General features: G+C 39.0%; 1 protein-coding gene across 11 annotated transcripts in view, besides 2 other annotated features; it reads left to right on the forward strand.

The window, feature by feature from the left end:
• CHD7 (chromodomain helicase DNA binding protein 7) overlaps positions 1–14,322 on the forward strand; it is a 189,289-nt gene that overhangs the window by 103,530 nt on the left and 71,437 nt on the right. For 10 of the 11 annotated variants that reach the window (XM_011517553.3, XM_047421945.1, XM_011517555.3 and 7 more), the window contains exon 4: positions 12,717–12,858. The exons of the other annotated variant lie outside the window; for it this stretch is intronic. In XM_011517553.3, the coding sequence (XP_011515855.1) occupies positions 12,717–12,858 (142 nt within the window). The remainder of the gene's footprint in view (positions 1–12,716; positions 12,859–14,322) is intronic. 11 annotated transcript variants of the gene reach the window in all.
• Positions 10,631–10,700: an enhancer, noted in NCBI's record as "active region_27426". NCBI's record gives its function as "activates an Ori minimal core promoter by ATAC-STARR-seq in GM12878 lymphoblastoid cells {active_cell/tissue: GM12878}" and the evidence as "EXISTENCE:reporter gene assay evidence [ECO:0000049][PMID:35858748]".
• Positions 10,841–10,910: an enhancer, noted in NCBI's record as "active region_27427". NCBI's record gives its function as "activates an Ori minimal core promoter by ATAC-STARR-seq in GM12878 lymphoblastoid cells {active_cell/tissue: GM12878}" and the evidence as "EXISTENCE:reporter gene assay evidence [ECO:0000049][PMID:35858748]".

Raw genomic sequence — 14,322 nt, forward strand, 5'->3', positions numbered from 1 at the left:
GCCCACCCCATACCCTCATGTGCACGTGTAAACACACACCTGTGCATGTACACAGTCAGTTCTGCATTTGCTGTGAACTTTTTGAGATTGCTGCCCTGTGTGTGCATGCCCAAGTACACAAACAGAGGAGATTAATTTTGTGGCTAGAAAGATGTTGCCTTGAAGTGAAAGGACAAACTTGGACTTGCAACTTCCTGCTAAAAATAATCTAAACAACTCCAAATACATTATTATGTGATGTTTTAAAAGTTTGGATCATAGCCATTTAGGAAATTTTGCCCTCAACACCTTTTATGGTGCCAAAGTAACTGAATTACATTCAGTAGCTCAGTCTTACAGATAACTTAATATTTGCATTTACTTGTGAATTTTCTTTGATGCCTCAGTGTGTGGTCTCCTAATTGAAAACCATCACTTTTCTCCCCCTCTTTGTGAACATGTTTTTAAACTTAACACTTTATAAAATCTGTTTTTATTTAAGAAATATTAAGTGCTTATTATTTGCAGGTACTGTTTTAAGAGTTAGGGATGTAAGGATGAGGAAGAAAGACATGGGTAGAATTTTAGTGTGACTTTATGAGGTAGTTTAAAAAATAAGTAATTACCTAAATCTAAGTATATGCTTTTGGTAGGAGAAAGCATAAGCTTATTTCTCCCAAGGAGAAAGAAATCAAAGCAAAAATCTTAAAAAGAATATAATCTTTTTTCTTTAACTTAAAACATAGGAGTCTGTGTTCTAAAGAAGCTTTTTGGAGCTCAGGAAATACATCATTAATATTAATCTTAGCATCAAGATATATATCTGATTCCAGCTTTCATCTTAATTTTTAAATTTATCACCTAATGGTAAAAATGGATTAAAAAAAGAAAATAACACTTTATATTAGATATTGTTATGAATTTCCAAGTATGTCTTTTTAAGTTCTGAATCTACATCAGACTGGCTCTATGTTTAAAAACTTACTTAGCATACCCTTACCTCTTGTAGAGTCCTTTGGGGCAGATATTAAAATGCTGTATTTAACAATGAAATTTGTTAAAATTTTCCCAACAACTGTAAGAAACTGTTTGAAAGTTGGAGCACCAAATCTAGTTAGTCCCAGGCATGCCATGTCTTCTTGGTGCAAATATAGACCCTGTGTTTATCCACTAGAGAAACATTCAGTGCAAGCCTCATAGGCTTGCTGTCCACCCTGAAGTATGAATCAGAGTCTGTGCAGAGTAAGTGTTTGGCATTGCTGAATCTGAGTGTTGGCTTTGCACCAGAGTCACAAGCTTTTGGTAGGAAGAAAAGGGTGTATTTTCTCTGAAAAAGTGTCTAGTACCTTCCCCCCTCCTGCGGCTTTTGATTAATAGTCTCAGTCAATGCCTGCTATAGGCAACAGTTATTTTTACCCTAAGTGGTGTGAAAATAATTGGATGGAACACGTCTGATGAGCCTGCGGATTTACAGGTTAAACGGGAGCTGCTGCAGTGTGGCCCAAAGACTTAGGATGCCACACTGGGGGGGGCGGGGCACAAAGAGTGTTGGTGGCACCTCTGTTGGCCCTGGTCACTTGACCACTTATAGGGCCACTCTGATTTACAATGAAGGGTGGTAAGGACATTCCTGAACTTCCCTGTTGTTGACAGTCAAACAGGGATGGCTGTCCAAGCATACGGTAGTTGAATTGAGGTTTTAAGTAAATTAACAAACCAGACCATTATTTTGTTGAACCTCATTGTTTCTCTTGATCTGATAAATTGAGTATGTCGCATTGTGGTCTCGTTGTTCTACTAAGTGTAGAAAGGAAACAGCATCCCTGGAGCAAGGATAACTAGAGTGCATACAACTACATGTAAATTCTGAATAGCATAGTAGAATAATTATGTAAATTGAATATGCAGTGATGAAGGTAATAGGGGGTTTGGGTTATGTTAGTACTGGGTTTGAATTGCCGTAGCAGTTTGCTTTTAAGCACTGGAATACAACAGTGGCAATTTTGTTTTGCAAAATGTTATGTGATACCAGTTATTTCCATCCTTGAATAAGTTAACTTGATGAATTTGTTTATACAGAAAATAATTTTCCTACAGAGAGCTAAAATAGAGGGAATAAACAGAACCGAAATGAAAAATTTAGCACAGAACTGCTGACATCTTTACTCTGCAGCCCTGTATGCCATATCATTGCTGTGTTGTACAAACAAGTGTGCTGTTCTTTGAGCTGGAGGTAAAGGAATCGGCCCGAGGGTGCTCTAGCTTTCTCTGTGCTGTGTCACTGTCAGGGAGAGAGCTTGGTCTGCATCACTTACACTCACCATGGTAAAGGACATGTGAAGGCTGGCCGTTGTCAGGGGCTGATTTTCCTTGTGTGTCTCCTCACTGTCTGGCACCCCATCTTGTTCTGTAAAATGGCAGAAGCTTGAATTTGTGACCATTCCCAGAGAACTGGCCTTTTTGACAACTAAAATATGATCATACATGTCTTTCCTCTGCAGGAGGACCTAAAAGAATCTGCCCAGAAACTGTTACATAGAGTGATGGTGAAGCAGGAAAAGATGTTCAGCATCACAGAAAAAGACATGTAAAACCTTGATGAGAAAAACGGGCCACATTCCTATTCTCTAATCAGGCTGTATCTTTTTTCCCTTTCCCGTTTTATGTTAAATATATATTTTTTGTATCGATTTTTCTAGTGTTCTCCCCAGTTGTCCTTACAGCTTTCAAATATTCGTTGCTAATATTGAAAATAACAGCGAAAACATTTGTGGGTTGGAGAGGATACCGTTTTGCATGTGGAAGGATTCATGGAGCTGGAATATGAGGATTTGCATCCTTTTCAATGCATTTTCTGTTGTGCATGCATGTGCCTTGTGAGATGAGAAAGAATTTGGAGGAAGTGCTTCCTTTGAATGACTCTTGAAGGATTTAATGGTCCATTTAGCTATATAAAGATTCTTTGAATGTACAGAAAGAAGGGAACTTGGCCAAAGATTGTGACTTGACTACTGAAGCTTAAGTTAAGTAGAACAACACAGACTTGCTGCTAATGCAGTTTCTAGGAATGCCTTTCATTCCTTGCTCTATGCTCTGTCCCTAGTATTAAACTTAGTAGAAAACTAAAATGTTATTTTTCAATTAAGAGTGAAGTTTTATTTTTACATGCTACTCTTATTTTAAAAAAACATATATAGTACGAGAAACATGTGAGGGTGCTTTTTGCAAATCATACTATCATTATCATTAATAGTAGTAGTATTTGTATAGCAGCTTTCTCTGAGGAACTCAGCTTTTCAAACATTGTTTTCTCAGTTACGAGCTTACAGAGTAGCAACGTTTACCTGAGAAATACTTTTACTCAGCCACCAAGTCCAATGGTGGTGTATTTTTATAAACTAATACATATTTTATGGTGTACTCTTGTATATGTAAAATTTCTTAATAGAGATTAGGCACAAAAGTAACCCATTATGCTAGTTTTGGTAGTAAGTACAAAAACCTAAATAGTCAGATATCTTCCTGTCAGGTACATGGGTAATAAAATAAATTAAACCCTCAGCCTTCCTTTGATTTTTTTTTTTTGTAGCTGTCCTGATGATTTTCTTATTCTTTATTTTACTCACATGCTATGATTTACTCTTGGTGGAAGACATTGGACATTTGAAAAGACAGAACTAAATGTTTTGCACCCTGTGCCTGTGGAAGAGGGTAGAGATTTCTTATGTGTGTGATGATAAATGAATCTTTGAGCCCTTTCAGTGTTGGTGCCCATGGACATAGTGTGGCTTTGTCTCCCGACCTGTCCTACCCAGTCTCTGGTTCATTAAATCCAAGCTTGTGCTCCCTTTCCTGCTGCCTCAAAGGCTGTCTTTTCTTCAACAAAAGGACCATAGCATCTTTTAAATCCCGAATCCTTCTTTCCTTTAGGGTAACCACCTCAAGGCCTTCCTTTTGCTAGCCAGCATCAGTGGCCCCATTGTGGCCCTTCCTCTATTTAATTTCATCTTAAACTGGCTGAGTAAGCAGGGTGAGAGAGTCATCAGCTGCTTTTAGTACAGACCCCGGTGTCTTTGACGTGTGTGGTTCAGTTCATATCCATCAAGGGAAGAGATTGCCTAATAATACTGACCTTGAAAGCAAGTTTGCCAACTCATGGTCTGTGCCAGATGCAGGGTGGGCTACACTGGGCCTGCTGGAAATTTGTTTCTGCCCATCCAGTGAACTGCAGTGGACTCCAAAGCAGTGGCCTTGTTCCCACTTTGGTTTATATGGGAGAAGGTGGTGTAGATCCCACTTTCAACTTCCACTGCACCTATCAAATGGAAGTTCAGGTGTAAGGAGGCCGTGAGCCGCAGTGGGATGTTAAAGGGAGATTTTTCTGGAGACACATTCCTTGAAAGTCCTAAGTGGAATTTTCAGATGGAGCGTATGTTGCCATACAGTAGATGTGGTTATGATGTTAGGGCTGGCAGGTAAAGAGCAGAAGGAATCATAGGCTGATTTTATCTTTTATTTAAATAAGTCTATATTTGTGAAAATGAAGTGCTGTTGAAAAATGAAATTCTGTACAAATGCAGTTTGCACCTGATATGTAAAGATCTTTATGTTAGTTGTCTTCTGCGTGGACGAAGGCAGTCTTCGGGTGCTTGTGCAAAGCCACTGTGCAGAGCATCAGTCATCTGAAATGCCAGCCCTCACTTCAGCCACCTTTATGTAGAAGTCTATGTGACTTAGCATTCAGACGTTAAATAGGAAATGGAGAGTGCAAATCAAGAAAAAAGACACTTCTTTTTTTTTCTTTAAGTTAGACAACACCCTTAAACTTCCATAGAATACTAATTTTATGTGTAGCCCTGACTTCTGTAGGAATAATATAATTTTGTGGGAGTTTGGTTTCTCCTGTTGGGGTGGATGGTGATATTTTCTTCTTTGTTGTTTTTACCATTTATTTAATCTGCCAAAGTCTCATCTCACCTGAGGCACCTGATTGAAATGTGGGTGGGCAGCATGGCTCATTTGTTGTGTTAGCCACCCTGGCAGATTAGAGACCGTAATGATGAATCTAGGGAGGGGGTTCTGACTGCCAGAGTCCCCCTTCCTACTTCATAGGATTGCTGTGCGTGAATAAGAGCGGCATCTTAAAATGTGGCACAGGGAGTCAAATGTGTGCCCTATAGTTTGGCACTTGGAAAGATACACTATGATAAAAGGCCATTGAAAGGCCTATTTTTTATATAGTTTTGTAGTGTCTAATTGGTTTAATTCTTTATGTTATATCTAGGAAGTGGAGAGTGTGAATCAAGAAAAAAGGCACTTTTTTTAAGTAAGACAACACCCTTAAACTTCCATTAGAATACTAATTTTTATTTGTAGCCCTGACTTCTATAGGAACAATATAATTTTGTGGGAGTTAGGCTTCCATTATAATGCCAGGTGATGCCACATAGCCAAAGTGTTAATGTCTGTGTTAAGCTTCTGTGATCAGATAACACATTAGCTAACTAGACTTCTTTTCCATGTTACTTCTGGCAGATCTGAATTTAATCCATAAAACTCGGTAACTTGTAGATTTTCTTTCTTTTTTTTTTTTTTTTTTTGAAACAGACTCGCTCTGTTGCCCAGGGTGGAGGGCAGTGGCACGATCTCGGCTCACTGCAACCTCAGGTTCAAGCGATTCTACTGCCTCAGCCTCCCTAGTAGCTTGGGTCTACAGGCATGCACCACCACGCCCTGCTAATTTTTGTGTTTTTAGTAGAGTTGGGGTTTCACCATGTTGGCCAGGTTGGTCTCAAACGCCTATCCTCAAGTGATCCGCCTACCTTGGTCTCGCAAAGTGCTGGGATTACAGGTGTGATCACTGCACCCAGCCCCAGGTGACTTTTTTTTTTTTGAGACAGGGTCTTGCTGTGTCGTGTAGGCCAAAGTGCAGTAACACAGTCTCAGCTCACTGCAGCCTCAGCCTCCTGGGCTCAAGCAGTCCTCCCTCCTCCCACCTCAGTCTCTCTTTTTTTTTATTTTTATTTTTTGATTCTTTCAGATCCAGACCTACAGAGACTTTTTTGTATTTTTTATAGAGATGAGGTTTTGTCGTGTTACCCAGGCTGGTCTCGAACTCCTGGCCTCAAGCGGTCCACCTGCCTTGGCTTCCCAAAGTGCTGGGTTTACAGGCCTGAGCCAATGTACCCAGCTGGTGACTAATTTTGAAGAACTTAAAACATTTATTAATAATTCTTCATTGAACTTGAACATTTATTGTCCATCAGTAAAACAGAATTCTTCCCTCTTCCTTTCCTGCTAACAGGTCTCCTCTTTCTTTTTCAACTAGAAGAGTAGGGTAAAGAATTTGTGGCTGGGGCTTAGGAGTTGAGGGTGGCGAGGCACCTGCTTGGAGTGAAGCATGTGGGTGCCAGGCCAGACGCCTGAGAACCAAGGGTGCCTGAGGCTGCTGGGTGCAGGATTGCAGACATCTGGGCAGCGCACTGAGCACTAGTGGGGCCTTCGCCAAAAGGGTACTGGATATCTTGGTGTGAAGTTGTTGACCTCTGGGTTTATTATCTGCCATTCAGAGTTTGATTTGTCCCCTTCCTCATTAGTTTATTCTGTTGTCCGCGTTTTATTACATTCTAGTTTAGCTGTTAAATTTTAGTCTTAGAACTTTCTTTAAAATTTTTATTTTGTGGGGTTGATTTTACTCTATGATGTACCAGATTTTATGCTGCTTTAATTGGCTTTTTAGAACTTCATACTTTATCTTTTTTAGTTTGCCTTTTTGTCTTTTAATTTTCTTTTTCATTGTCTAAAAAACTTAACCAAATAGTAGACAGGGCTTAAAGGAAATGCTCTGCTCTTAAGTTGAGAGGCTAGACACTCTCCTCTGCCAGTATTGAGCCCTTGGCCTCTACCATCTAGCTGTGTATTTTAGTGTGGCAGCTCAGATCATTTTAGAGTTGTATTTTGTCACAAACACCCTGCATCACATTCTGTGTGGCATCCCATGCCACAAAAACATCTCTTTTACTTCTTATCCATTAGGTTCATTTCTTTATTCAGAAGTCTTTTCAGGATATAAAGTGTAAGAATATGCTTTAATACCTTTCAGTCTTTAAAAGATTATAATGTAACATTTTGGAGAAGCTTGAGTCTCTGAAAACAAACCTGATTAATTCTCATGACCTAAGCCTCAAGGTTAATTTTTCCCAATATGGTGAGAAACTTCACTAACTTATCCCATCTGAAGAGACTGATTAAGAACTCCTTCCCATTGTCCAGACATTCTCATTAGCTGACCATATTCCCATCACATTTGGGTCCACAATGTGGTTCTTTTTCAAGTTTTCTTTCTGTTCAGGACTTAGATCTATTAGGCCGACACTAATCAATGTTTAACTGTGTTCTCTTTTGTAATAAATCAGGGCAGCTACCTGGCTTTCCAGTAAATTATGGCCGTTTGTATCAAGCTTTGTTTAGAAAGCCAACAGAAGGAATTGGTTATCTATACTGAATCCATCCAACCCCATTTCAGGTAATAGCACTAGGCCGTCCTTACGAACTTACAGTTGTAAGCTGAACATGACTACTTGCATAAAGGTAGATTGCCTAGACTATCTCTCCATGTGACATATACTGCTCTCTGAATATAAAGTTTGTGTTCTTCAAATGCCTGCTTCTAAGAGTTTGCATTAAGTTGGTGTATGCCTTGGTGCCATTGGGGGTGATTGCAGAACTTAAGACCTTGGTCACTTAGCTATGGACCCTGAGCACATCCAGCTACCCACCAGTGTAACCCAATTCTCATCATGAAATGTGAAATGTAAGTAAGGCTGGAGGAGGAGCAGTGGCCCTTCAGACCTCCAGCAGCATCCTCAGAAAATGTTCTCCATCTGATTACAAGGGCTTGTCTAAAATGAGGAGCAGATGGCTCTATATCTCATTGTCTTGCTTCATGAGTGGATGGCTCTGTCTCTCAGTCTCTAGCCTCATGAGTGGTTGGCTCCGTGTCTCTTTAGCCTCACAAGTGGATGGCTCTACGTCTCTCTAGCCTCGTGAGTGGATGGCTCTGTGTCTCTCTAGCTTCTCTAGCCTCAGGAGGGATGGCCTGCTTTTTGGTCATTATCAGTAATGATGTGAGATAATGGTCACAAAAGAGGTTTGTGAGTATGGAGGCAAGGTATGTAGATGGTATTCTTTTCTGTTGGTTTTTTAAAAAATGCTAGGTTTCACTCTATTTTTTTGAACTTTAGCCCGATTTTACTGAGCTTTATAGGCGTTTCATCAAGGTTGACGCTATGTGGGGGTTTCTTATATGAGTTAATGAGAAAAATATTTAGAGTAGTGCCTGGTACATACCCAGGGCTATGTATGTTTCTGCTGTTGTTATTGCTATTACTTGTACTGTTGTAACTAGACCAGTTAACAATTATAAGTAACCTACCAGAGTAGGCTCTAGAAATGTAAACGTAATAAGACACAGTTTCTTCTCTGCTTGAGCTTACATGATAGTTGGAGAAAGACACACATATAGTGCTTTGATTTTAATACATTGCAGTAATGTTACCACCAACTTTTGTGTATTTTATATATCCCTTGTATGGGGTACATCATGTGACATGTGGGTGGAGTGAGGAGATCATGTCTGATCTAGACCATGGTGATTAGAAAATGCTTCTTGGAATGAGTGGTGTCCGCGCAGGGTCTTGCAGATGAGTAGGTTGGGATAAAAGTGTAAGTAGAAGAGATACATGTGTGTTTTGGGGAATAGTTCTGTATGCCTGGAAGCATAAGAGGCAAAGGTTCTGGTACACCCATATGGAGAATCTCAGACATTATATGTAGAGGTTTGAAACAGAGGAATGCCCCAGTCAGATTTGCCTTCCAGCTGGTTACTCTGGTGACTTGAGATGAGTTTTCAGGTGATGTTTTGGTGGCATTACCATGATGCTGAGGTGGGAAATACAGGAGACAGAGCAGGTTTAGGAGAGGAATGAGGGCAGACATGATTTCTTCAGTGCTGGTGCCATTCAGGGCTGGAATTTACAGGTGTTCCCTGCACATGGCCTAGTTATTCTTCCAACTCACAGGCTGCCATGTGGCTGTCGGCTTGAGCTAGGCCCATGAGTAGCCATCACTGCAGCTGTTAGAGGAGTCTTGTGGTTCTGTATCTGCGTCAAGCAGCTCAGTGGCCTTATCTTCAATATTGCAATGTTGGTTTAAGGAATGTTACTTCTTAAAGACATTCTCATCCCCCCGACCTAGAACAGTGGCCCTTTTCATACGTTCCAGCTTCTGTTGTAATTTGGAAGAGGAATATATGTCTGTGTTTTGAGTTTGACATTATAAAAGACTAGTTTTGACCCTTACGGATATAAATGATAACTATGCATGTGGACTCTATGTCCTTTCTCCACCGGTCTGATGTTGTATAGCCCTGCATGTGGGGTGTGAGGGTGATGAGGCAGTGGGGAGCTGTTGTGATTAATAGCCTGGGCGGGAAATGATATGTGTCTGAACTAAAGCAGTGGTCATGGGCATGGGGAGGAGTGCACTGTGGGTCTGTTTGCTTGCTTATTCTTTTAGCTAGTGCTTAGGAATGTCGATGAAGGCTCTTCCTTCTATGTATGTTGCTTGGATGAAGTCATCCTCAGTGAAGGGGGTCCTGTCTGTAAGTCTCTGCAGTTGAATCGGCCCAAATGGGTCTGAGCCATGACCAGAGAATACTTTCCAGACTCAGCTGCTTGTTTTTCACATGGGTGTGGATGTTAACTATCTGTGCCATTTTCTCATTTAAACCTCATAATAAATCTTGGAAGACTGTATAAAATATTAACGTTATTTTACAGATGAGGAAACTGAGGCTCAGACAAATTAAGTAACTTATCCATGGTCCCAGCCTATAAATGACAGTTCGAACTGGAACTAAGGTTTGTCTTGACTCATATCAGTGCTCATATCCACCATTCTAGATTACCTTTGTTTGTTAAAAGAAAAATCTTGACTTGGATATTTTTGGACAAAGCAGTTTTAATACAACACTTAGTTGAAAAATCTCAATTAGCTTATTGCAGAATAGTAGCAAAGGCAATTTAATTTACATAACTTAATTTTGTCCTTGATGGAAATGTTGGAGGGTGGACACTGAAGATTTTGTTGCTTTTTTTTTGACTTCCTAGGGTGTTCTTTGATTTGTATATTGATGGATGGAAATGCTTAGCTGTCCGTTAACAACATGAATAGTGAAAGGTCTGATGAGTTTAGAAATCTTTCCATACTCAGATCTGGGATAAGTGCTTCCCTTATCTACAGGCTTTTTGTCTAAACATTTGGAGAGGGACTGTCTGACTTTCAGCTATCTTGGAGGTTCCATACAGTTCATTCTTGGGAAGGGCAGATGGAAAATCATTAGCACTTCTCTCCTTCAGCAAATTGATGTTTCCTCAAACCTGGGCTCTGGTCGGTTTCCAGATAGTAAGCCTTTTACTCCTGTAGGACCACGCATGCAGGGCCTGGCAGCCCTCTAAATTAAACCGTGTACATCGCTCTGGTATAGAGAGGTCACTGTGAAAAGCGCGAGCTGCCAACTCACTTTACCTGGCAGTGGTTCAACTCTTTGACAGGCCTACCTCTGATTTAAACAAATTTGAGAAATATGTAAAGTTTTGGAAGCAGTTTTGCACTGATTTGATAAAAGAAACCACAAAACACTGCAGCGCAGGTGTTGAGAATGTTTGAAAGCTGATTGAGGGAAGCAGATGGCTTTAGTCAGTGGCATCCAGCCAAAAGAGCAGGTGCTGGTCATGTGACCGCTGGTTACCAGGGTAATCTGATTGCTCTTGGCGTGCAGATGAAAGGAAAGGGGCCCAGTGTTCAGCTGTAGTATTGTATAATTTGTGGCAGTTAGAGCGGAAATAAATGCTGGAAATGGAACCTCATAGTAGGGGAGACTTCTGTCCATGTGTAGCGTAAACACTAGGACAGTTGGATGAGGAACGGTTGTATGGATTTTTTTTTTTAATTTTAAAAATATTATGCTTTCTGTGGATCTTTCGGAGACAGTTTTTAGAGCACGGCCTTTTTTCTTTTCTTTTAAATAAAAATAACTTTTTAAACCTAACTGCCATTTGCTATAATCTTGAATTGTTATTTTCTTATGTAGCTATTTACTATGCTAAAATGTTAACAAAATAAAACTCTGAGTATTAAGAATAACTAGTTTAAGATGATCAAATATTTTATTTAGTTGAAAAAATACATTTTAGGTGTGTGATGGGTAGTTTATTAACAATACTTTTGAAATATTTTACATGACATATGCTTTATTCTAAAAGCCTATAGATATCTTGGCTTCTTCCTTTTGTAGTAGCTGAGGGTAAAAACATGCTGTTTAATGCATTCTGTCAGCACATTTTCCTGAGAACTTACAAACTTCAATAAATAAAATTTTTGAAGGTTTTTGAAATACAGCTTTTGTTTTTCACAATTTATTGGAATTTGAGGCTCCCTAGAAATATTTTTTAAAAAATCATTACTGAGGTTGGATTATTTTCAGTGTTGGATAACAAATAGTAATTGGTGTTAGAAAATTTGCAACTGATGGCCGGGCACAGTGACTCAATGCCTGAAATCTCAGCACTTTGGGAGGCCGAGGCAGGTGGATCACCTGAGGTCAGGAGTTCAAGACCAGCATGACCAACATGGTGAAAGCCCGTCTCTACTAAAAATACAAAATTAGCTGGGCATGGTGGTGCATCCCTGTAATCCCAGCCACTTGAGAGGCTGAGGCAGGAGAATCGCTTGGACCCGGGAGGCGGAGGTTGCAGTGAGCCAAGATCACGCCGTTGCATTCTAGCCTGGGCAACAAGAGTGAAACTGTGTCTCAAAAAATAAAAAAAAAACTGGAGCTGATTTGGAAATAGAAATGGAAGGTAGCGCTAAATGTACATAAAGTCAGGTAAAGGTTCTAGAGGTAATGGCAAATGTAAAACATTTTTTTCTTGAAGTTTATGTCTTTTGTCTTATATAATATTCAAATTCTAATAACATTTGTCAGCAACATACTATGAAACATGCACTTTATTAGGGTTGCTTTACTGTATTTTTATATTTCAGAGAACTGTCTTTCAAAAAAAGGGCTAATTGTGATTATCTCAAAAAACACGTAGCACCAAAATAAAGCTTATATTTAATTAAGAACACAGTACCTACTAAAATTATGTACAACAGGAAATTGCTATGTATTTTTATTACATTCTAAAAGATTATAAGTTGAACAAAAATGTAACTGGATGGTATAAAAGAGGATACCTTCTAGTACTGGTCAAAAGAATACTTAAGTATGTAAAACTATCCACAAAAGGCACAAAGAGAAGATCATGATATCGTTTTTCATGACAATTAAAAAAAAGTGTTCTGTACCTTAAAAATTCGATAGCAAAACTACTTCTTAATCTGATTTTTTATTATGGCTTGATATACTGGCAGGCATTTTGCACAAATGTACTATGTGTGGTATTAGTTTTTGCATGCAGTTTATTTTTAATTAGGTCATATATTTGCTAAAAGTCATTAATATGGAGTTTTGCCAGGAAAACTTAATTGGGAGTTGCATTTAACTGTAAATAGCCAATATGTATGGATTTATCAGTTGTCATTGATACTTTTGGGATATTAATGTGGGAAATATAAGAGACATGCAGAAACACATTAAAAGTGAACACTAAGCGATCCACTTTGAATTCTAGTAATAAGAAACCTGACTCAGAAGCAAGTGCTTTGAAGAAAAAGGTCAACAAGGGAAAAACAGAAGGTTCTGAAAATTCAGACTTAGACAAAACACCCCCACCATCTCCTCCTCCTGAAGAAGATGAGGACCCAGGTGTTCAGGTAATACAATTATTGTGATTCCCGAGCCTTGGTTATTTGGCATGGGTAACTTTAGCCATGTATGAAGTACACAAGACCTCCCCTATCTTGTTATAGAGATGCTCTTGAGATGTCTTTATTGTAGTCTGGAACATTATCTCCATAGCGATGTAGGGAGGGGGAGCGGGCGTGGAACAAGAAATTATACTCCTGACAAGAGTGGCTTGGTTTTGCTATCTTTGACTCTATAATTAATAAGGCAAAGATTCTTCATTTATTTCTGTAAATGTATATTTTGCTGTTTATGTTATTAACATTGTTAATATACTGGCTCATATAAAGCTTCATTCACATTTTTAAATTTCTCTAAAGTTTGGTTGATTGTCACTTTTTTGAATTTTGCAGAATTAAAAATCAAGATATAATTTGTAGTAGCCTGTCTAAAGTTTCTGACATCTGGCACTCAAAGTTGAGATATAGTCATGTAATCTAATTCATGTAATACTAAAGTTTCTATGAACAAGCCAGTGACTTTCCAAATGGCAACTCTGCAGAATATTCTCCCGACTTTAGGAGAGTTTTATAGGAATGAGTTGAAATGCTAACCCTGAAGTAAACGTGAGGAATGTAGGTTCTTGTGTGTAAAGCATACTGCCTTCACTGATTGGACTGAGAAGGACCCTTACAAGTGACAGTTAAAAATTATTTCCTTGTTAGGTTCCCTGGAAGCATGCCAGTGTGGTCCACTGGGATGGCTGGGAATGTAACTTATGTGAATGACATCTAAGTTGTCAAGGAGCAGTTACTGAAGAGTTGTCCTGGAGTAGGAAGCCAGCCTCTAGAAGCTTACTGGACTTTTTCTTATTTAGTACACACTCAGGACTTTGCACCTGTACCCCCACCAGTCAGAAACAAAATATTTGTAGTGTGCAGCTCTGTTCCAAAGAATTTCAGATATTTTTGGCTTTGGCTTTTTGTTTGTTAGAGTAGAACTCCCTGATACCTATAACTTCACAGAATAGCCTTAAGCTAGACCTGAAAGGGAGGGAGAGAGAGATGAAGTGAATGAATATGTTTTGGTTTAGTTCGGTTTGGTTGTGTAACTAACAGTGATACCTTTGGCAGTGTGGGTTATTATGTAATTTTATTTTATACATCAATGGAAAGATATTGGGAAGGTAAGTAGATATCATTTTTTAATTGCGTAGGCTGTTTTACAACTAAAGTGTTTTATTGATTTTTGTTTTTTTACTGAGATCTGGTCTTACTGAATCAAGTGTTTTAATGATTTTGAGTTTTATTTTTATCCGTAAGGGTATTTTCTCCTGATTTATGTTTGCTTAAAGCAGGACCTTTATGTCAATAGTATTTGGACAACATTAAGAATTTGTTTGCATCAGTAGAGGAAATTCTGTTATGTTGTTATTTCACAAATACTGCTATTGTTTTTTTAAAAGTCTGTTTATATTAATTCAGACTCAGATG

This window comes from Homo sapiens, chromosome 8 (assembly GCF_000001405.40).
Source record: "Homo sapiens chromosome 8, GRCh38.p14 Primary Assembly".
NCBI classification, from domain to species: domain Eukaryota; kingdom Metazoa; phylum Chordata; class Mammalia; order Primates; family Hominidae; genus Homo; species Homo sapiens.